General features: G+C 43.7%; 1 protein-coding gene across 2 annotated transcripts in view, besides 4 other annotated features; it reads right to left on the bottom strand.

The window, feature by feature from the left end:
* Positions 1–15114, bottom strand: part of GNA13 (G protein subunit alpha 13) — a 47452-nt gene extending 32338 nt beyond the window's left edge. The window contains exons 1-2 of one of the 2 annotated variants that reach the window (NM_006572.6): positions 14685–15114; positions 11876–12102 (exon numbers count right to left, since the gene is read on the bottom strand). In NM_006572.6, the coding sequence (NP_006563.2) occupies positions 11876–12102; positions 14685–14967 (510 nt within the window). In that variant the 5' untranslated portion in view covers positions 14968–15114. Of the gene's footprint in view, positions 1–11875; positions 12103–13966; positions 14149–14684 lie in introns of those variants that run through there. The other variant, NM_001282425.2, reaches the window with a different exon arrangement.
* Positions 6039–6672: an enhancer, noted in NCBI's record as "NANOG hESC enhancer chr17:63043783-63044416 (GRCh37/hg19 assembly coordinates)". NCBI's record gives its function as "activates a minimal SCP1, AML or CMV promoter by ChIP-STARR-seq in naive H9 embryonic stem cells {active_cell/tissue: H9 hESC(naive)}" and the evidence as "EXISTENCE:reporter gene assay evidence [ECO:0000049][PMID:30033119]".
* Positions 14352–14611: a silencer, noted in NCBI's record as "silent region_8858". NCBI's record gives its function as "represses an Ori minimal core promoter by ATAC-STARR-seq in GM12878 lymphoblastoid cells {active_cell/tissue: GM12878}" and the evidence as "EXISTENCE:reporter gene assay evidence [ECO:0000049][PMID:35858748]".
* Positions 14892–15401: a silencer, noted in NCBI's record as "silent region_8859". NCBI's record gives its function as "represses an Ori minimal core promoter by ATAC-STARR-seq in GM12878 lymphoblastoid cells {active_cell/tissue: GM12878}" and the evidence as "EXISTENCE:reporter gene assay evidence [ECO:0000049][PMID:35858748]".
* Positions 22139–23105: an enhancer, noted in NCBI's record as "H3K27ac-H3K4me1 hESC enhancer chr17:63059883-63060849 (GRCh37/hg19 assembly coordinates)". NCBI's record gives its function as "activates a minimal SCP1, AML or CMV promoter by ChIP-STARR-seq in naive H9 embryonic stem cells {active_cell/tissue: H9 hESC(naive)}" and the evidence as "EXISTENCE:reporter gene assay evidence [ECO:0000049][PMID:30033119]".

Here is a 23449-nt window from a genome sequence, read left to right on the forward strand (position 1 = left end):
GAAAGGGAAAGAGTACGTCTGTGTGTGCACGTGGAAGGGGTGTGGGGAGCACCTCAGAGACAAAGGTGAAGGAAGAGGGGATGAAAGCAGCACATTCAGTGGGAGTGGTGAGCACTCTGCACCTGAGCCAGAGGTTATCTCCCCATGCCTCCAGCAGGAAGATAAATGACTTGTCTCACTCTGGTACATCTGAGGCATTTCAGGAACACATTCTCCAAACAATCAAATAATTCTGGCTACAAATGTCATCGTGATGAGAAGGATCAATACTGGTTAGTTTCACCAACCATCTATATAACACTCTATTATTTTCAAATGACATTTGATTCTTTAGAGTTGTAAGTTTTTACATTTACAAAGACACACAAGGACTAGCCATAAAAATATAGACCCATTGTTTGTAAAATGTTTTCACTTGTTTAAAAAGGTACTGTGAAAAAATGAAGAACCAGCCAGCCGCGGTGGCTCACACCTGTAATCCCCGCACTTAGGGAGGTCAAGGCAGGTGGGTCACCTGAGGTCAGGAGTTCAAGGCCAGCCTGACCAAAATGGAGAAACCTTGTCTCTACTAAAAATACAAAATTAGCCAGGTGTGGTGGCACATGCATGTAATCCCAGCTACTCGGGAGCCTGAGGCAGGAGAATTGCTTGAACCCGGGAGGCAGAGGTTGCCATGAGCTGAGATCAGCCATTGCACTCCAGCCTGGGTAACAAGAGTGAAACTCCGTCTCAAAAAAAAAAAAAAAAAGAAGAACCACATCATAAGTTTTTGATCTAAAAATCAAGCAAAGCGGTATCACTAGGCAACAAGAACGAATGTAACACGGTGGCTGGGCACGGTGGCTCAAGCCTATAATCCCAACACTTTGGGAGGCTGAGGTGGGCAGATCAATTGAGGTCAGAAGTTTCAGACCAGCATGGCCAACACGGTGAAACCCCATCTCTACCAAAAATACAAAAATTAGCCGGGCATGGTGGTGCGGGCCTGTAGTCCCAGCTACTTGGGAGGCCAAGGAAGGAGAATCACTTGAACCCGGGAGAGGGAGGCTGCAGTGAGCCAAGACCGCGCCACTGCACTCCAGCCTGGGCAACAGAGCGAGACTCCATCTCAAAAAAAAAGAACTAATGTAACAAGGAAAACTTCAAATCTCTCTTCAACATGTGGTCCTAGAGACAACATACAGTCTAATAAGAAAACACAAGTAATATATTCTACATTATTCAGAATTTTTTATGTTGGTAATGAGGTTTAGAGAGTAAATCAAATCAAAGTTTATACTGCTTTATTTTTCTATGCAGCTACTTAGGTGCATAAAGCCCATTAGGAATATTAATAACTAATATTAATAATATGGTTAATACAAGTCAGGTACTGTGGGGCTTTACATGGGTTATCTCATGTCCTCGTCACAATAGTAACAGTAGGTCCCTAATAATAGATCATTCTCATTTTACAGTTGCAGAACTAGAAATTCAGAGGCCGAAGGACTTGCCTGAGCTCACACAGCGAGTGGCAGCCGGAAGACGAACTCTGGCTGCTGCCTTACTCCACTTTATCCCACAGCATGGCACAAAACCAAATCCAATCTTAAGGCCATCACATGAAACCAAATGTAAAAATGTTTTGCAATATATACAATCATTAAGTTTGAACATGTTTATTAATTTTTTTTTTTTTTGAGACAAGGTCTTGCTCTGTCTCCCAGGCTGGAGTGCAGTGGTGCAATCTCAGGTCACTGCAACTCTGCCTCCCAGGGTCAAGCAGTCCTCTTGTTTCAGACCCCCGAGTAGCTGGGACCACAGGTGTGCGCCACCATGCTCAACTAATTTTTGCGTATTCTGTAGAGGCAGGCTTTTAGCATGTTGCCCAGGCTGGTCTCAAACTCCTGGACTCAAGCAATCTGCTCACCTCAGCCTTCCAAAGTGCTGAGGTTACAGGTGTGAGCCACTGCGCTTGGACTGAATGTGGTTTATTTTAATTTGTATGGAAGATAAAAGCTTTTAAAAAGTCACAGATAGCACAACCAAGCACACAGATTTTACTATTTAGATTAAAAAACAAAAATATCTGTAGGCCAGGACTGATAAAAAATGAAAACAAGAACAAAAAAAACAAACATCAACGAAGAGTTCCACTAAAGTATTCTGGATCTACTGCAGAGTAGATGGGGATGAAAAAGTTTACCCACCGCATGGATTTAAAAATCCTTTCGAGGCTGGGCACAGTGGTCACGCCTGAAATCCCAGCACTGCAGGAGGCCAAGATGGGAGAATCATTTGAGGCCAAGAGTTCAAGGCCACCCTGGTCAACACAGTGAGACCTCATTTCTGAAAATAACAAAAAAACTAGCCGGGTGTGGTAGTATGAGCCAGTAATCTCAGCTACTCGGGAGATTGAGGTGGGAAGGTTGCTTGAGCTGGGGAGGTCAAGGCTACATACAGTAAGCCATGACTGTGCCACTGCACATTGGCCTCGGGAACAGAGCAAGACCCTGTCTCAAAAAGTAAAAAAAAGAAAAAATACTTTCAGTTCATTTTGCCAAAGGAAGAGTGATTATATTTGGAAGATTAAGATAAATAGCTACCATCAACGCAACAGATTGGTACTTTGGCCAAGTGCACTAAAGTTCAGTTCTCAAAACAAAACTATTTTCTTGATTCATATCAGCTCATTCTAATACTGCTCTGCTAATGTGGCTATAACAAGTTCTTTTGAATAAAAGGCATCTTGTAAACAAGATAGGTTCACAATATAGACAAAGGTGAATAGTATATAGCTAGGGAAAAACGAAATACTTTCAAGCAGGGAAATAAAAATCACTTCTCATTTCCAGAAATACACACTTAAAAAAAATTAGGTCACTTTTAACTGGAAAAAAATTTGTGACAAGCCAGGCACGGTGGTGGCTCACGCCTGTAGTCCCAGCACTTTGGGAGGCCAAGGTGGGAGAATTAATCGAACCCAGGAATTCAAGACCAGCCTGGGCAACCCAGCAAAAACCCCATCTCTTAAAAAAAAGGAAAAAAAAAAAAGAAAAAACTTTGTGAGAAATTGCAATCTCGAGTGCTCACAGGCAGTATGAAAACTGTGACATGATTACATGAGAAGCATTTCAAAGGAGTTCATAAAAAGTTAACAATAGGCCGGGCTCACGCCTGTAATCCCAACATTTTGGGAGGCTAAGGCGGACAGATCACTTGAGGTCAAGAGTTCAAGACGAGCCCGGCCAACATGGTGAAACCCTGTCTCTACTAAAAATACAAAAATTAGCCAGGCATGGTGGCCCATACCTGTAATCCCAGGTACTCGGGAGGCTGAGGCAGGAGAACTGGCTGAGCCTGGGAGGTGGAGGTTTCAGTGAGCCAAGATCACGCCACTGCACTCTAGCGTGGGCAACAAAGTGAGACTCCATCTCAAAAAAAAAAAAAAAAAGAAAAGAAAAGAAAAAGTGTTCTGGTGTCCCCTTCTCTAAAACAAAAGCAAATCTGACCAATTACATAGAAGACAGGCACTAAAGATGGCACTGTCCTAGAAAAATGTTGGCAATCTCTTTCAGCTAACTGGTTGCCATTAAACTTCTATTTTTCAGAATACATTAAAAACTGTGTTCAGCCAGGCATGGCGGCTCACACCTGTCATCCCAGCACTTTGGGAGGCTAAGACATGCAGATTACCTGAGGTCAGGAGTTCGAGACCAGCCTGGCCAACATGGTGAAACCCCATCTCTACTAAAAATACAAAAATTAGCTGGGTATGGCGGTGCACGCTTGTAGTCCCAATAACTTGGGAGGCTGGGTCAGGGCTTGAACCTGGGAAGTGGAAGATGCAATGAGCTGGGATCAGGCACTCCAGCCTGGGCAACAGATCAAGACTCTGTCTCAAAAAAAAAAAAAAAAAAAAACCAAACTGTTTCCACTGATGAAACATCAGTTGAGAATCACTATTACAGTTAGTTTTCAAGGAGGTAAAGATTCAAACTGAACCTTTACCAAGCTGAATAGTGATTAGGATAAAATGTACCATTCACAGTTAGTAAATTTACTATTAAACATTGCTTAAGATCACTTATATCGTTACTATAATAAAGAAAGAAGAAATGGTACAAGGATATTAGGAAAGTTCAGGATATAAAAATAACTACGTGACTATCAGTGTAACACCAAACATTCTTAAATAAAACCTTACATGCACTTAAAATAATGTGCTAAAACTTAATAGGGGAGTGTTAATTATTTGTATGTATGGGTGGTGGTCAGAAGAAGTTGGGAATGAAAGACAAGAAGAATGCTCCACAGATGCCATGTTTGAGTGCTAGTAAAATGGTTTGGTGGCCAGAGCTGTGGACTAGGAGTCAGCAGATTGGGACTGCGGTGTCTATTCTATTATTATTTACTAGGTCTGTGAACTGAAGCATCTCAAGGGATCTTTCTGAGTCTCCATTTTTTAATCTGTGAAATGCGGATAACAGTATATCTTGTTTTGCTTTTTTGTGGACCTGACACTTCAGGATTCTTTCTCCTTTTTAAATATAGCACTATATGATCATGAATGTGATAGGGATTTGAAAAGTGCAAAGCAAATGTTGTTATAAAACGTAAGATATTAAACAATTATTATAATTAAATTAAACAATTATTATAATTATCAATACTATGAATTAATTTTATTTTTATTTATTTTTGAGACAGGATCTCACTCTGTTGGCCAGGCTGGAGTGCAATGGTGCTATCATAGCTCACTGCAACCTCAAACTCCTGGGCTCAAGCAATCTCCTTCTCTCAACCTCCCAAGTAGGTGGGACTACAGGCACGTGCCACTGCGCTTGGCTAATTTTTAAAATTATTTGTAGAGACAGGATCTTGCTATGTTGGCCAGGCCGTTCTGGAATTCTTGGCCTCAAGCATTCCTCAGCCTGAATTAATTTTCTGAAGAAAGAAACTGGCACCTGTTTTGGGCTAATAGGACTGGATACCCCAACTTGGTTGGCTGCGCATATCTGTGAAAGATAAGCAGGGAACATTCAATCCAAGGAGTCCTTTGGCCATTATGCTTTTCTTTAAAGTAAGCTCACAAACCTTTTTCCTGGGTTAGGTCCACGCTCTAGGTAAAGAGTTCTGAAACTAAAGTCTACTTTTCATAACAAAACTATTTACTTGTTCCATCTCTTAGTTGTTTAATAAACATTTTCAGAGAATCATAAATTATTGTGCCCCTAGCTTTGTTTAGCAATAAAAGGTAATATAGAAAGCAGCACAGTATTTTCCAATTCCGGAAGCTTTAGCACCAAGAACCCAGACATCCTACAGCCAGTCAAGTTTTCACCCAAAAAAATGCGAACATGAAAATTTCAACATAATAGAATACAAGTGATACCACCTATGTGTGCATGCACACACACTTCACAAAGTTGTATTAAAACTATAAGTGTAAACTTAAAGGAACTGACGGAAATTTTAAAAAAGAAATTAATTAAAAAGAAAAAAACTTCATTTTTAACGTAAATAAACATAAAGCTCTGGGTTTACAAGATTTGGATAAAATGTAACCACTCTGACATCTGATCAATTTCATCAAAAGGAAATTAAACTCAACTTTAAAATCTCTACTATCTCTGGCTGGGTGAGGTGGCTCACTACTGTAATCCCAGCACTTTAGGAGGCTGAAGCAGGAGGATCACTTGAGCCCAGGAGTCCCAAGGTTACAGTGAACTATGATCACACCACTGCACTCCAGCCTGTGTAACAGAGTGAGACTCTGTCTCTAAAAAATATTAATAAAGTAAGATAAAAACCTCTACTATCTCTAATGTTATATATAATCTTTATTTTAGATGGGATGAAATATTTAACACTAATCCTAGAATCAAAAGATAACCAATAGGTTTTTAGCAACTCAAAGTCCTTGCTTGACTATACTTATAGAGAAAATGGACCAATCATCCAAAAGAAACATAGTATTTTACAACTGAAAGTAGCAATTCTTTAATATTTAAAGCAAATCCAAATTAGCATTAATTAATAAATGACTCTGATTCTTTTTTTTTTTTAAGAGGGAGGGGGCTGTCCTCACTATGTTGCCCACATTGGACTTGAACTCTTGAGGTCAAGCAATCCTCCTGTCTCCCCAGAAGCTGGGACTACAGGAGCTTCAAATGACTCTTGATTGTATTATATTTCCAATACATGCTGCAGTGCAAATAAATAAATAAAAAAAATTAGCTGAAACTGAAGTTTCTAGAATACTTAGTTGGACCTCCCCTTTTTACAGGCCAATCATGGAGCTAAATGGTTACTTTGTTACACAGATTGAGGGAGTAAATCTCTGTGTTAATGAATACACTATCTTATCGGCTTCAAGAAGAGTAACCTCAAGCACAAAAAGAAAAGAATTAAGTCTAACTGAAGGTACCATGATTAGCAAAAACACTTTGGTTTCAGGAATTGCAAAGACAGACTGGCCATTACAGGAAGTTGTATTAATGCTGACAATGTTAAACTGTTTACAGAAAGTAGGAAGCTGTGGGATGTTCCTCCCACTGTCACACACACTGTCCTGTCCTACGTAACAAGTGTTGCCTTATTTCTCAATAAGTGAATATAAATTAAACAAAAAAAAATAGTTGGAAATGACTCCTAGCCATTTTGTCAGTTTTCATCCATATCTCCAATTGTATCATCCAGCCAACCCCTGACTCCCATCTCTTTATTCATCTGAGTTACCAAATTATCTAGCTATTGTCACATAAGAAGGTTTTCTAAAGACAGGGTAACTCAAAAGTGCAGTGGCAGGCTATGTTGAATGTACAGCCAGAGTAGAGTATTTCAAATATTTAATTCAGTACTAAAACAGGCCACTTCTTACAATCTATTATCCTCAGTATGCTAATTTATAATAACTAGAAAGGTACCTTAAGTTATAACGAGAATGTGAATCTTGTATTTTTCTTTTCCACAGTAAGCTATTTAGCTGACCCATGATGGAACTAACCAAAAAAGGAAATGTTTACCTTTGGGAACTTAGAAAGAAAAACATTCATGTTTACACCCAAAGTTATTACTAACAAATGAGTAGTCTGCTAAAAACCTAAGCTGTGTTATCAACACCCTATCCCTTGTCCCGAAAATTGATTAAAGGGCAGTTGTTCATCTTAGGCAAAATGTTAAGTCATGTAGGGCCTTAAAACCTGTCAGTTTTTAATGTGCATTAATAAGTTTAATAATCAAATCATTAGTTGAAACGAAAAGGTTAATTTTAATTTTAGTTATTTTATCTGCTAACCTCTATTTCTTCTGATGTTTACCTTTCCTATCCAAAATTCAAAAATATGCTGCTAAACATAACAAAACACATTTCAACCCCCCCAAATAAAAATTATAATTACACAAGAACTGTCCACTTCCTAGAAAATTAGGAAACTATTATAGAAATAATCCATATTTCCCAGAAGGAACTTAATGTAGAATTAAATTATATTACATATTTTTTAATTTTTATTTTTTTGAGACAGGGTCTCACTCTGACGTTCAAGCTGGAGTGCAGTGGCATGATCTCCACTCACTGCAACCTCCACCTCCTGAGTTCAAGCGATTCTCGTGCCTCAGTCTCCTGAGTAGCCAGGACTACAGGTACATGTCACCATGCCTGGCTAATTTTTGGTTTTGGTTTTGGTTTTTGGTAGAGATGGGGTTTCACCATGTCAGCCAGGCTGGTTTCCAACTCCTGACCTCAAGTGATCTGCCTGCCTCAGCCTCCCAAAGAGCTGGGATTACAGGTATTTTATTTTTTTAGAACATCTTTGTAATTAAGAATGTCTGAAAAACGAGGAAATAAAAGTGTCAGGCACTATGCTAGTAGGAGAGAAAAAGACAAACTAGGCATACCAAAGGACTTCTACATGACTGACAGCCACACATGAAAGCTGTGACTCTAACACACATAATGGGTACTGTGAGGAGTGACAGGAGTAAGCATGCTAGGGAAAGCAAAGGACACGGAGATCTCCATTCTAGCCAAGAAGACTGGAGATGCTTCAAATAAAGAGACACAGCCCCTAAGGCACTGTTCCTGGGGAAAGGGAGGGGGCATGGAGCAAATTCATCCAAACCACCTATGGCTATTTGCTGAAAACACAGATCACTGGGTCCCATCCCAGAATCCAGAATCAGATCCTCAGGTATAAAGTCTGAGCATCTGCTTGTTTGTTTTAACAAGCATTCCAGTCCATGGGGTCCATGGGCCACATTTAGTGTGATTATCACTACATTAAGTGAAGGGTAAGACCTAGTAACAGATAGGGTAAAGAATAATTCTGGCAGAGGGACTACGCATGATGAGAGCTATAGAAGCAAAAAATTAGGGTATGTGGGAATCAAGAGATTACAGAGTATGTCCAGTGGCCTAATGAAATATATTGCTGGAATCACAGGTAAGCTAGCTAGAGTCTTTACTCCCACAAAAAAGCTGAGCTCTGTTCTGAAGACAATGGTGAGCCACCAAAGCTTTCTGAGCAAACCAATGCTGTGTTTGAACAAGACTGCCTTGGAGTCCAAGCAAGAGGTAGCAGAACACAAAATAGAGGAAAGGAGGGAATGAATGCAAGAGACGTTACAGAGGTAGAAAAATCAGAACTTGGGGAGCTGCTGCATGTAGATGAGTAGATGGAATTGATGATGACTTTGAGGAAAATTTTAAGTAAGCCAAGTGCCTTCTCAGTGCCTGACACTATGCCAAGCACCACAGCACATCCAAGAGTTTAAGAGTCATTAAGTCAACATAATAATGGAGCATCTCTATGTGTCAGGTGCTATTAACAATGCTGAAGCCACGCACAGTGGTTCATGCCTATAATCCCAACATTTTGGGAAGCCAAGGCAGGAGGACTGCTTGAGGTCAGGAGTCCAAGACCAGCACTGGCAACATAGCAAGACTCCGTCTCTACAAAAATTTTTTTTTAAATTAGCTGGGTGTGACGGCACACACCTGTAGTCCTAGCTACTTGAGAGACTGAAGCTGGAGAATCACTTGAGCCCAGGAGTTGAGTCTACAGTGAGCTATGATCACAACAGGGCACTCCAGCCTGGGCAACAGTGAGACCTTCTCTTAAAAAACAAAAACAAAAAAACAAAAAACAATGCTGAGCGTAGACTCAGGAAAAAAGAATCTCTGTCCTCCAGAAGTTTAAAATTAGGTCTTGCTCTGTTCCTCTTTTCTTGTCTCTACTTTTCATCATGGAAAAAAGTATTTCTGGAACTTATCTCTCCTCATCTTTGAGGACTTCTTTGCTCCTTAAGGATCAACTGGCTCAAGTCAACAACAAGCAGGTCCTCATCCTGAGTGGTTTTACCTATTCGTTCTTAATCACAAAGATATACTTAGGGATGCTTTCTCAACAATGAGGACATGACAGTCCTGATGTGAGACAGTTAGACGTCAGCTTCCAAATTAAAAAACTGTCCATGAAACACAACTTTAATTAAATGGACTTAGGGCAAATACGGAACTTCCCCACAGAGAACTTTCAGGTATGCAGTTCTTTATTTATTCATTTAATCCATATGCACTGTATGCTTATTACAGATGAATGTTTCTTCTCTGACCTGGAAGGATGAATAGAGCCTGACAAAATTGAGTTGAAAGTGTGTGGTTTGTTGAGAAAATGAACTAAGAAGAAAGGAGAATAAGCAGCACTTAAAAACAGGAGGTAGATGGCCAGGCACAGTGGCTCATGCCTGTAATCCCAGCACTTTGGGAGGGCAAGGCAGGCAGATCACCTGAGGTCAGGAGTTAGAGACCAGCTTGACCAACATGGAGAAACACTGTCTCTACTAAAAATACAAAATTAGCCAGGTGTGGTGGCGCATGCCTGTAATCTCAGCTACTTGGGAGGCTGAGGCAGGAGAATCGCCTGAACCCAGGAGGCGGAGGTGAGCCAAGATCGCGCCACTGCACTCCAGCCTGGGCAACAAGAACAAAACTCTCAAAAAAATGCAAAAAAACAAAAAACAGGAGGTAGAGTGATGGGCGATGGAAAGGGGTATATGGAAGAACTCATGCAAGCAAATCTACCAAAAATAAAGTAATAAACATTGATCAAGGGACAAAACTAACCAGAAATCTGGGAATTGGATGGAGGTCATTTGTCAAGTTAAATTCATCATTTTCAACATGCAATACTGGCAGCTACGTAATTTTAACAATAATGTGAGACAGTCCCTGCCTTTCAGAAATAAACACATTACTTGAAAAGACAAGATACAAACATGATAGAAGAGAACTATACAAGACGGTAAATAATCAAATGCTAGTTGAATGACAGATATAAAAGCCATAATTCAGATATAGTCAAAATTAAGGTGTCAGTTTTATAAAAAGCTATCGTGAACACTTTCCTGGAACTTTTAAAAGGCAAGACTGCTTCTAAGTATAAATAATAACAGCAAGGACTGCTGGTTGTACATCGCTTTGCAGCCACACCCATTAATGTGGATTAATGTTGGTGACATCATCAAACAACTTCCTAAGCAGCTTATTTATTTTTTTTTTGGAGATGGAGTTCTGCTCTTGTTGCCCAGGCTGGAGTGCAGTGGCACGAACTCGGCTTACCGCAGCCTCCGCTTCCAGAGTTCAAGCGAGTCTCCTGCCTCAGCCTCCTGAGTAGCTGGGATTACAGGTGCCTGCCACCACACCTGGCTAATTTTTGTATTTTTAGAAGAGACGGTGTTTCACCGTGTTGGCCAGGCTGGTTTCAAACTTCTGACATCAGGTGATCCACCCGCCTCAGACTCCCAAAGTGCTGGGATTACAGGCATGAGCCACCGTGCCCAGCCAGCAGTTTTACTTTTAACTGTCACTTCATTTTAATCATATTAGAGTAAAACACTTCAGATCTGAACTACCTCCAAATTGCACACAGTCTAGATTTCTATCACTGCTGGAATCTTTCTGATCTTTGGCAAATAAAACCCAATCACAGCATTCACAGTTAAATTACAAAACACTTGATTAAAAATTTGTTTCAACTGTATTCTGTATCTTTAACCTGGATTGGATACTTTTATTCCAAACCTGTCTTCAATGCTGTGTAACAGCTACAAAGCATTTTATGGGTAGTCTCGTTAAAGAAAAAAGGGGAAAAATGCCTGGCACAATGCCAGCAATTTGGGAGGTCAAAGTGGGCACATTACCTGAGGTCAGGAGTTCAAGATCAGCCTGGCCAACATGGCGAAACTGCCTCTACTAAAAAGACAAAAATTAGCTAGGTGTGGTGGCACGCGCCTATAGACCCAGCTACACAGGAGGCTGAGGCAGGAGAGTTGCTTGAACCCTGGGGGCAGAGGTTGCAGTGGGCCAAGATCACACCACTGCACTCCAGCCTGGGCAACAGAGACTCCGTCTCAAAACAAACCCCCCAAAAACAAAAAAACAAATTTCTGAGGCTATAATTTTGGATAGATACATTAAATTATGGAAGTCAGTGAAAAAAGTGTGCTAAAATCAGATACAGGTTGAGTGTCCCTTATCCGAATGCCTGGGACCAGAAGTGTTTTGGATTTTGAATTTTTTCAGATTTTTGAAATATCTGCATACATATGAGATATGCTGGGAATGGGACTCAAGTCTAAACTAGAAATTCATTTATGTTTCATATATACCTTAAGATATGTAGCCTAAAGGTAATTTTATACACTATTTTTACACGTAGTCATTAGAGACTAGGACACATTAGGTCTGTGCCTTAGCCTTTCAGTCTGTTCCTCCATCTCAAATACTTTTAGATTTGGGAACATTTCGAATTTTCGCATTAGGGATGTGCAACCTGTATTACTAAACATCATTAAAATAAAACCACACGTTTTAAAAGAGCAAATCTCTTACCAGTTGAAATTCTCGACGCCGGTCATAGGCATTCTGTATGCCGCTGTCTGCCCATAATGCTCTTATAGCAGGAAGATATTGTAAGAAAACCCTTGTTTCCACCATTCCTTGGGCTGCCATGGGGGCCCGGGTATCAAACGACATCATCTTATCTCCATGTTGTTGGTTTGAGTTGTCTCCCCAGGGAATATGAAGCTTCTCTCGAGCATCAACCAGCACCCTCATACCTTTGTTTAAAAAGAAGAAAAAAAATGTATGGAGAGGAGTCATTACATATTATCATAAGTTTTTATTCCAGTATTATTTCCTTATACTTCTGAATTAACCTAGACAAACCTTCTTCAAAAATGAAGACCAACATCGAAAACAAATGTAACTTCTCAGAGGTTAAAAAAAATAACAGTTGCTCACTGTCTTAAAATTAGAGCCTTGAAAAGCAAATACTATTAGCACAATTCCTCTCTCTGAAGGATTTTTAACATGTTCCAATTTATAAAATAACTTCTAGGATAGAAGGTAGTCAAAAAACAATCTAACTCAAGAAAGAAAAAGAAGTTATGCTGCACAGACCAACAATGTCCAAGCTCAGAAGAAAACAGACACAACCAAGGTTTTATGAGCCTAAAAGATGTTCATTTATGAAACACTAAGAACCAACTACTATAGCTCCATGTTCTGTTTGTTGCTTCGGCACCCTAACCCAACATTGAGTCTTCTAGCAACACATTCAAAATTTAAAAACTTCTTCCAGCCCAAGTTTCAATCCAGTTTAAGTTACAGGATGGCCTTCAATTTCCCTAAAAGGGAGGAAGATCAACTGCAAAATAATACAAAGTCGGACTCCAACTCACAGAGGTTAGTTGAAACTCATTTTTCCTATCACTGATCTATTACTTTTATTAAGTTTGATCAATCTGAACAGTCACTTGGCTATTAGGAAGTCATCTGAATAACTGAAAAACGGGTGGGGTTTTTTTGTTTTTGTTTTTTAATAGAGACGAGGTCTGGCTATGTAGCCCAGCTGGTCTGGAACTCCTGGGCTCAAGCCATCCTCCCACTTTGGCCTCCCAAAGTGCTGGGATTGCAGGAGTGAGCCACCACGCCCAGCCTGAGAAACTGTTCTACTGTCAAATTTCATGTCAACTTGAAAAAACTAGATTCCTGATGACTTACATCATCTCATAATCAATGCTCAACGTAGATCACACTTACAACTCAGTGTACATTAAGAACGAGGTGTTTACCAGGCTCACAGTCAGTTAACATGTTGATGCTATTCATTAACATAATTCCTTAAGTTCAGCTGCATCAGGTTACAAAGGTACCTTCAATTAAGGACTGTCAAGGCAGAGTCTGCAGCCTTGAAAGAGACCTTAATTAGTTTTGAGCTAAACATTACAGCAGGATAAATACAACTGTTCTTTATAGTTTAACTGCAGAGGTACTAGGGCTAGAGCTGGCTGTGGTCTAGTGATTCTCTCTAATTCATTACTCCATAATGCCTGGCTCTTCAGGCAGTTTTCCTTTACCCAAACGCTGGAAGCTCGGGAGGCGGTTGGCGGGGAGGGGGCGGGGGGGTGACATGCAGAAGTCCCTTATGTACTTCCTGAACAAAAATCCCACTTAAAAAGACCTGCAATCTGTAGCAAACTCCTAAACTGCTCCCCAGATAAAATAAAATCCAGATGCACCTGAGTTACCAGGCGCTGCACCTAAATTTTGCCAAAATGCCTTTTCTATAGAACATACTTGACACGCAGAAACGAGTGTTAATTATCTTTCAAATGACAAAATAAAAACCATCTTTTCGATTTCTTTGAATGCCCAGAAATAAACAACTTGTTTATTTTTCACTTAAGAACAAAGTTTAATTTTAAAACTACTGTCAATAAAGAGCCGAGCCAATTATCTAACTCAACACTCATTCATTGTCTCCATCTGTACAGGATCCACATGACTTTTAGGCCAGTCTTCTTACTACTACATTTCATCTAAATAGAAGCAGTGGTACTCCCTTCCTGCCAGCCCCCAGTTACTTAGCGAAAAGGAGAGTGGAACGTGTTGCACAGAAATCACACGCAAACATCCTACCTGACCGTGACACTGGGGCGAAAAAGCACAGATGCTACATTTTCATGCTAACTGTATGGGTCCACTCTCTCCTGATTCCAGTACAGTCAACCTGACACTCCTCAAGTTTCATATTCTCGCCCAAAAGGAGGCTGTCACCCTACGCCCTTGACAAGAAGTCTCGGGCAAAAAGTTCCCTTATTGCGACGGTTCCAGAACTCGCTTGCTTAGGAGACGGCCAAGGAAGCAGGGAGTTGGGAGCGCATGCGACCCCATGTGACTCGGGTCACCCAGCCAGGGTAGCGAGGTTCGGCCCACATCGCCCGAGCAGGGGATGGGGGTGAAGCGGCTAGGGCTGCTATTGGTGTTCCTGCCTCATCCGCAGCGGGGAGGACAGGAGAGGTCTGCCCACACCCCGAGGCAGCACCCAGCTCGCCCCACTTCCCTCTCGCAGGGGGAGAGACCAGGACGCGGTGGGGGGTGGGGGAATGGCCGTGACGCCCACCGGGGAGACAAGCGGGAGAGCAGGGCGACCCCGAGCATCCTCTCGCCCTGGGGCGCGAGGGCACCCCGGGCGGGCAGGGCCAGTTGCCGGGGCGCGCCCCCTTCCCGCCAGCCCGCCCGCCGGGCCCGTTCCTTCGCCAGCGACACAGCGGACCAGGGCGGTGCCCCGCCCCGCACCCGCCGCCGCCCCAGCCCCCCTGCCCTTAACCCCCGGCCCCCATTCCCGGCCCGGCACCTTTGATCACGTTGCTGTAGATGGTGGGGCGGAACTCCTCGCGCGCGCGCTGGTCGAAGTCCTGCCCGTGGATGATCCGCATCTGCTTCAGGAAGGTGGACTTGCCGCTCTCGCCCGCGCCCAGCAGCAGGATCTTCACCAGCCGCTTCACATAGGTCTTTTCCCGAGACAGGCATTTGTCGATCTCCTTGGACTTGCGTTGCTGCTCGGCCTCGCCACTCGTCAGCAGGCAGCCGGGGAAGCACACGGACAGCACGGACCGCGACGGCAGGAAGTCCGCCATCTTGCCGCCGCCGCCGCCGCCTCGGCGGGCCCCTCCGGCTCCCTCCACCTCCTCCTCCGGCGGCGGGCGGCTCCGGCACCGAGGCTCGAGGGCGGGGAGCGCGGCGGCGGCCCGAGCGCGCCCAGGGAGGGAGGGAACCAGCGAACTGACTCGCAGGGCGGGCCGGGCAGGGCGGGCCAGGACAGCGGGGGAGGGAGGGAGGGAAGGAGGGCGGGCCCGGCCCCGGAGGGGCGGTGGCCCCGGAGCGTGCGCGCTCCCGCTGCCTCCCGGAGGCGCGCTCGCACGCCGCGGCCGCTTCTCCGCCTCCCGCCCTGGGCGGCGAGTCACGAGCTCGATGTGTCGCTCGGGTGCCCGCGCCCGCAGCCGCGGCCGGGCGCGCGGGGAGGGCTGAGGAACCGCGGTCACGTGGGCCAGGCTGGGGAGCCCGACTTTCTGTTTCCCTTTCATGGCCTGAGCCCACTTGTGGGCAGAAGGGCTCCTTCCCCAAGGCCGGGAGGCCGGAGACCAGGTCCCGGACGCGGTTCTTTGGGCTCCCACTTAGCCTCCCTTTCTCCCGCGTTGCGCGCCCGCTGCCCGCTGTCACCGCCCACCCGACCCATTTCGAGGCCACGGACTCGAAAGTTATTCGAACAGAACAGCCGGCGTGAGCCTGGCAGGCCTTTGGTGCATTTTCTTTATTTCATTTTATTTTTTCTCTTTTGAGACGGAGTCTCACCCTGTCGCCCAGGCTGGAGTGCATTGGCTCGATCTCGACTCACTGCAACCTCCGCCTCCCAGGTTCAAGCCATCCTTCCGCCTCAGCCTCCCGAGTAGCTGGGAGTACAGGCGTGTGCCATCATACCCGGCTAAATTTTTTGTATTTATTTTTAGATACAGGGGCTCCCCCCTATGTTGCCCAGGCTGGTCTCGAACTCCTGAGCTCAAGCGATCCTCTAGCCTCGGCCTCCCACAGTGCGGGGATTCCAGACAGAGCCACCAGGCCCAGGCCTGGTGTGTTTTCTTAAAGTGACTCCCTTGACCTTCTAGTCTCCGAATCCCAGAACGGTAACCAGACGTCGTCCACCCCCACTTCCAGCTCTTTCTGGCATTTTCAGACCCCTACCAGGGCTCTCTGTGAGGGGAAAGAACTGGAGTTGATGTTCACTTGAGACGTGCTACCAGGGGCATTTAATGGCTCACTCGTGCATTCCACCTGGGCTGTGATGTGACTTCAGGGACGCTTGGCCGCGCCGGAATTAGCGAGTGGCAGCAGGAGGGTGAGGTCATGGTGAAAATCCCCTACACCGGACACTGTGATGTAGGCTCTTCCCAACAAGGAAGCAGATACACAAACACAACGAGGAATGGGAGCACGCAAATTTTAGCTTTCCTGCCAGATTACAGAGGATATGACCCGTCCAGGGACTTTTTTTCTGTCCTAACAGCAGATTCAGGCCAGGACACCTGAAAGGAGGCCAGGAGACAAGCCACAAGTGACAGCTGTGGGTTGGCAGAGAAACTGCTTAACCGGGACCCCCGAGAGCCGACCTCTTCATTCTTAGTATTTAGTTTCAAGTGGAAAAAGCCACTTTGGTCTGTCCCTGTTTTGGGCAATGCAACGTAGCTTTGGGCTCCTGTGGCTCAGAAACTTCGTATGTATAAGGGAGCGGAGGTAAGAGGTCAGCATTCCAAGAAACTCCCGAACAGGTTTAAATTTTAAAATCGGTACTAATCAGTTACTCCCTGGGGTTGGGTTAATGACCGAGAAGCCTCGACTCAGTAGATTGGCTGCAGTAAACAATGCCTGTAGTAGGATTATCTCCTGTGGCTCTGGCAAGCCCAGAGGGTGGACAACCTACAATATACAAGTAGAGTAGGCTCACCTCCAATATCTGTGGATTGATAAGAGTCAGAATCACTGAGCAGTGCTGTCAGGCAAAATATATGGTAAAAGCCTGCCCTGGATGGAGAATTTTTCCATCATCTCATCTAGTGTTTGGGAGGCCCTGTTCTCTAACCATGCAAGGACTCGCCTCTCCCAGGATTGGGGCATAGAACCTGTCCCCGAGCACTGTTTCTGCATTGACCCCAGGTGCTAATCTGAACTCCAACAAAGAGGAGAGAAACTTGTAAGTTAGGTAGTTAACATCTTTTTTCAGAAGTGTGTGTAATATAATGGAAAACCAAGAATGCCTAGGAGGCAGGAAGGTATTCCTGCCCAGCCAGTTCATGTCGTGACATGCAGAGCAGCAGAGAAAGCTGTTTAAAGCCCTGCGTGTAAGCTTGCCTTGGAACAAACTTGGCTCACATCAAGTCTGGCTGTTCTAGTCAGTGTAGTTTTTAAAAAGAGACCTCTTTGACCTGAAAGTCAAATGAAGGAAGAAGAAGAAGAAGGAGGAAGGAGGAAGGAAGAAAGAAAGAAAAAGAAGGCCGGGCACAGTAGCTCATGCCTGTAATCCCAGCACTTTGGGAGGCTGATGCAGGCAGATGACTTGAGCCCAGGAGTTCGAGACCAGCCTGGCCAACATGGCGAAACTTCATCTCTACTAAAAATACAAAAATTAGTGGGGAGTGGTGGTGGGCGCTTGTAGTCCCAGCTACTCGGGAGGCTGAGGCAGGAGAATTGCTTGAACGTGGGAGGCGGAGGTTGCAGTGAGCCGAGATCAGGCCACTGCACTCCAGCATGGGTGACAGAGTGAGACTCTCTGTCTCAAAAAAAAAAAAAAAGAAAAAGAATGAATGAATGAAAGAAAGAAAAAGAGACCTCTTTGGGTCCAACCTAGGGGTTTGGCTGCAGCTGTCCAGCTTCTTCTAACTGGTGATCAAGACACCTTGTAAATTGTAAACATAAAAATGAGTTAGAGACTTGGTGGTTTCTCAAAGAGGTGAACATAGAATTGCCATATGACCCAGTAATTTTATCCTGGGTATACCCCCCAAAATACTAAAAAGAATTGAAAACAGTGTTCAAACAAAAACTTGTATACCCACGTTCATGGCAGCACCATTTATGGTAGCCAAGAGATTAGCCGGCTGCAGTGGTTCACGCCTGTAATCCAAACACTTAAGCCAGGAGTTTAAGAGCAGCCTGGGCAACATGGTGAAACCCTGTCTACAAAAAAATATATAAAAAGTAGGGGAAGGCGGTGTGCACCTGTGGTCCTAGCTACTCAGAAGGCTGAGGTGGGAAAATCGCTTGAGTCCAGGAAGCGGAGGCTGCAGTGAGCCAAAATTGCACCACTGCACTTCAGCCTGGGGAACAGAGCCAGACCCTGTCTCAAAAAAAAAAAAAAAAAAATAGCCAGATGTGGTGGCACATAGCTGTAGTTCTAGCTACTCAGGAGGCTGAGGCAGGAAGATTGCTTAAATGCAGGAGCTCAAGGCTACAGTGAGCTATGATCATGCCACTGAACTCTAAGTCTGTGTGACAGAGTGAGACCCTATCTCTAAAAAACAAGACACAAAGAGGGGAACAACAGACACTGGGACCTACTTGAGGGTGGAAGGCAGGAGGAGGGAGAGGATTAAAAAAAAAATACCTGGTCGGGTGCAGTGGTTCACACCTGTAATCCCAGCACTTTTCGGAGGCCGAGGCGGGCGGATCACCTGAGGTCAGGAGTTTGAGACCAGCCTGGCCAATATGATGAAACCCCATCTCTACTAAAAATACCAAAAATTAGGCGGGCATGGTGGCACGCGCCTGTAATCCCAGCTCCTCAGGAGGCTGAGACAGGAGAATTGTTTGAACCTGGGAGGCGGAGGTTGCAGTGAGCCGAGATCACGCCATTGCACTCTAGCCTGGGCAGCAAGAGCGAAACTCCGTCTCAAAAACCAAAACAAAACGAAACAAAACAAAAAACATATCGCATACTATACTTATTACCTGAGTGACTAAATAATCTGTACACCAAACTCGAGATGAGCAGTTTACCTGTATAACAAACCTGCATATGTACTCCTAAACCTAAAATAAAAGTTAAAAAAACCCACAACAACAAAAAAGGAATAGCCAAAAGGTGTCCAAATGTCCATCGATGAACGAATGGATAAACCAAATGTCGCATATCTATACATTGCAATTATTCAGCCATAAAAAGGAATGAGGTGCTGACACATGCTGCAACATGAATGAACTTTGAAAATACTAGGCAAAGTGAAACAAAAGGCCCCATATTATAAGGTTCCACTTATGTGAAATGTCCAGAATAGGCAAATCCATAAAACAGAAAGCAGATGGGGTGAGGGAAGTTGTGGGGAGACTGCTTAACGGTACAGAGTTTCGTTTTGGGATGACGAAAATGTTTTTGGAAATAGATAGTGATGATGGTTGGAGAACATTGTGACTGTACTAAATGCCACTGAATTCTACACTGTAAAGTGGTCACATGATTAATTTTATGTTATGTGAATTTTGCCACAATAAAAAAATGAATTGGGGAAAAAAATCTATATTATATATTTGTAATATATATAATATAAATATATATTTTTTATTTTATTTTATTTTTAAATTATTATTATTTTTTTCCAAGACAGAGTCTTGCTCTGTCATCTAGAGCTAGCATGCAGTGGCGTGATCTCGGCTCACTGCAACCTCTGCCTCCCGGGTTTAAGCAATTCTCCTGCCTCAGCCTCTGGAGTAGCTGGGAACACAGGAGCTGCCACCATGCCCTGCTAGTTTTTGTATTTTTAGTCCGCCTCCCAGGTTCAAGCAATTCTGCCTCAGCCTCCCGAGTAGCTGGGATTACAGGCGCCGCCACCATGGCAGGCTAATTTTTGTTTTTTAGTAGAAACAGGGTTTGACCATGTTGGCCAGGCTGGTCTCAAACTCCTGACCTGGTGATCCGCCCACCTTGGCTTCCCAAAGTGCTGGGATTACAGGCGTGAACCACCGTGCCCAGCCAGAAAAATATTTTCTTTAAAAAGTCATTGGCATCATTTAAGGTTGAAGTGCTCACAGTGTGCAACATTCAAAGAATGCAAATGCCATTGTGTTTATTTCAAAATAATACTAACAATTGAAATTCTTTGCAACAGAAGGAAATCTAGCCATTGCTTCAGGTTATACATTGCAATCGTATTAATGATATTTTCATTTTCAGATACATTGTTTTATAACTGAAAAAAATCCAAACTTTTTAAGGGAGTATAAAGTCTACTAGTTAGAATTGAATCTGCTGGATGCTCTATTTCCAACAGACCCAGACGTTAACTCACTGGAAGCGTCTGTATTGTTGCCAGCCAGTTAATCCATATGCAAATAGATTCAGATGCCCTGTGGAGCTGTGATAAAATAATTGCAGCTGTTGATTAGTTGCAATGTTCGTTTCTTTCTGGAAACTCAGTTCAGTGTCCGTCTTGCAAGATAAATAATTAAAGGTGTGATTAAAAACGAAATACATTTCCAAATAGCTTTTCTCCTCTTGTCACCTTAGAAAGAAACAAGCTCTTTCCAACAATACTGCCAGTCTTGAAATCTATTTCTAACTCTTCTGGAAAGATAGGCTTCTTATAGTTACAGTTTATTTTCAATGAAAAAAAAAGGTCTTACTTAGCTTATTTGCCAATCTTTGTGCCAAATAACTTTGGGCTGTTTACAAAAATCAGAATCATCCACAAAGGACAAAAAATGTGTCACCCTCAGACATGTTCAGAAGAATGTGCCAAAGGCTCTAGGAACAGTTCCAAAAGAGGTGTCAAAAATTTTTTTTGATGGGAAATATAATTTAAATAAGTGTTTCCCCTGCCAAGGTGACTACTTACTACTCAGGATGAGACAACGCCCATTTAGATGTTTATTTAAAAATCTGTCACATTACTTGATGGTTAAACCTTGTGTTAATCCAGCCTTCTTATTACGAAACTCTCTTTTGTCTCACCATCAGTACAAAATAGGTGGATTCTAACCCTTCCTTACAGATAAAACAGGCGTAGACTTTTCTTACCTTCCATAGGGAAAGGAAGGGAATTCCCAAGCCCTCCCAAAATACAAATCCCTTGCATTTGTGTCATGTTTTAAATGCCTCAAAGCACTTTGACCTACTTTATCTCATTCTCTGCTCACAGTAGCCCGACTAGGAACACCCAACATTAACCTCGCTCCCATTTAGCAAATGACTCTCTGAAAGCCTCATTCACTGTGGCCAGTTGCAGAGCTGGAACTGGAAGCTGCTTAGTCCAGTGCTTTTTTTTTTTTTTTTTTGGTAGGAGATAAGATCTCGCTCTGTTGCCCAGGCTGCAGTGCACTGGCGCTATCATAGCTCACTGCAGCCTCGATTCTCCCACCTCAGCCTCCTGAGTAGCTAGGACTACAGGTGTGCCCTACCAGGCCTGGCAAATTTTTTAATTTTTAGTATGTTGCCCTGGTTGATTTTGAACTCCTGGGCTCACGTGATCCTCCTGCCTTGGCCTCCCACAGTGCTGGGATTATAGACATGAATGACTGCACCCTGCCCCAGTGTTCTTGACTTTTTCTGTTGTTGTTGTTGTTTAAGAGACAGGCTCTCACTATGTTGTTCAGGCTGGTCTTGAACTCCTGGCCACAAGCTATCCTCCCACCACAGCCTCCCAAAGTGCTGAGATTACAGGCATGAGCCACTATGCCTGGCCCCCCTTGCTCTTTTTGATGTACAAAAATTGCCGTAGTGCCCAGAATGCCCAAGTGTATGAATTTCAAACCTGAGACAAGTAGCTAACTGGACTTAACCTCCAGGCACCATAGAGTTCAGTACTTTATTATTTTTCCAGCCCCTTTCAGGCTGACTGCCATCTTGAAGTTCCCCAGCTCAGACAGATCCTGGTAAGATGTTCTGTACTTTGAACTCAGGCTCTGGTTTGTAAAATATTCCAGGTGGCTGATGGAGAAATAAGAAAAGAGGAGCCAAGCTTGTTTGTTTGTTTATTTGTATGATGCACAAGCCCCACACATTTTTCACTTACCGTAGGAAGATTTAAAAAGAAACCCTTTTGTGTGTGTGTGTGTGTGTGTGTGTGTGTGTGTGTGTGTAATGAAATTTGATGTTGCCTTTACCAGAATAAGCCTCTCATGTGGAAAATTTTGTATGAAACTAGACATGTGGAATCAAATTGGTGGTGGTTTTGTTTGTTGTTGTTAATAACCGAAAACATGACTTTAATTATTGGTTGTATTTTTTCTCAGCCTCCAAAAAAGACCTATGGGCTGCTGTTGACCAGCTGAGACCTCAGCTCCTCCAAAGTCAGAAGCTGGTACTGTCTTAAAGGGACACTGGCACTCCTAAAATCCTTCCACCTTGCTTACTGCGTCAGATAGGTTTAAGGGCAATCTGTATGTAACACTCATCACAAGGCTTTGCCTGTAAATCTGAGATTCGGAAAAACTCAAAACATCGTGCTCACCCCTTCTCCTTTATTTTTACTTACAGCTTTTAAAGCAGAAGGATACATTTTTAGTATTTTATTGCCTGTCAATGCTCTGCGCCTTGCCAGAAACGGATAACGATAATTTTAAATTATTTATGTGTTTATTTTTATGAGACAGTTTCACTCTGTCACCCAGGCTAGAGTGCAATGGTATGATCACAGCTTACTGCAGCCTCCAACTTCTAGGCTCAAGGGGCCTACCTCAGCCTCCCAAGTAGCTGGGACTACAGACCACCACACCCGACTAATTATTTTTTGTAGAGACAGGTTCTCACTTTGTTGTCCAGGCTGGTCTTGAGCTCCTGGCCTCAAGTGAGCCTACCACCTCGGTCTCAAAAAGTGCTATGACTACAGAGGAGAGTCACTGTGCCTGGCCTAAGGATGCTTGAATGTAAATTCTGTTTCTCCAGTGAAGTTCAAGTTGGCAGTCTCAATTCATTCCTCCATGTAAAGATCTTCTGCTCACAACCCGGCAGCAGACAGCAGTTTTCTTTCCCTCGGAACACTGGATTAGCAAGCTTGGACCTGCCCCTTCCAGCAGCCACACTCCTGGCTAGCTTGCTCTGTCTACAGGTAGCATCACATGTCATGGCCTGTAGACCCGGCCTTTACCTCAGTGCAAAATGCCAGGGCATGTCCTCTGGTTGAGTTTATCATCGAGCAGTAAGGGCTCAGAGGGTGCTGAGAAATGGTCCATGCAGCCTTTGTCAGACCATAACACGTGGGCTCCCAGTGCAAATAATATCATAAGTTTTCTTTAAACTCCTGTGTCAGCTGCTACAGAAAAGAAAGGCCTGCTCACGATAGGATTCAGGGAAAGGCAGCAACTGCTGAGTCAGAATGACAGAATTAAAGGGCTTAGCAGATGAGGCACTGTAGCTGAGGTCCCTCATTTACTTTGTTTATTTAGAAACAGGGTCTTGCTCTGTCGCCAGACTGGAATGTAGTGGTGAGATCACTGCTCACTGCAGCCTTACCTGCTAGGCTCAAACAATCCTCTTTCCTCAGCCTCCCAAGTAGCTGTGACCACAGGCACATGCCACCATGCCCTGCTAATTTTTAAATTTTTTGTAGGGATCGGAGGGCGTCTCACTATGTTACC

This window comes from Homo sapiens, chromosome 17, assembly GCF_000001405.40.
Source record: "Homo sapiens chromosome 17, GRCh38.p14 Primary Assembly".
In the NCBI taxonomy this organism is placed as follows: domain Eukaryota; kingdom Metazoa; phylum Chordata; class Mammalia; order Primates; family Hominidae; genus Homo; species Homo sapiens.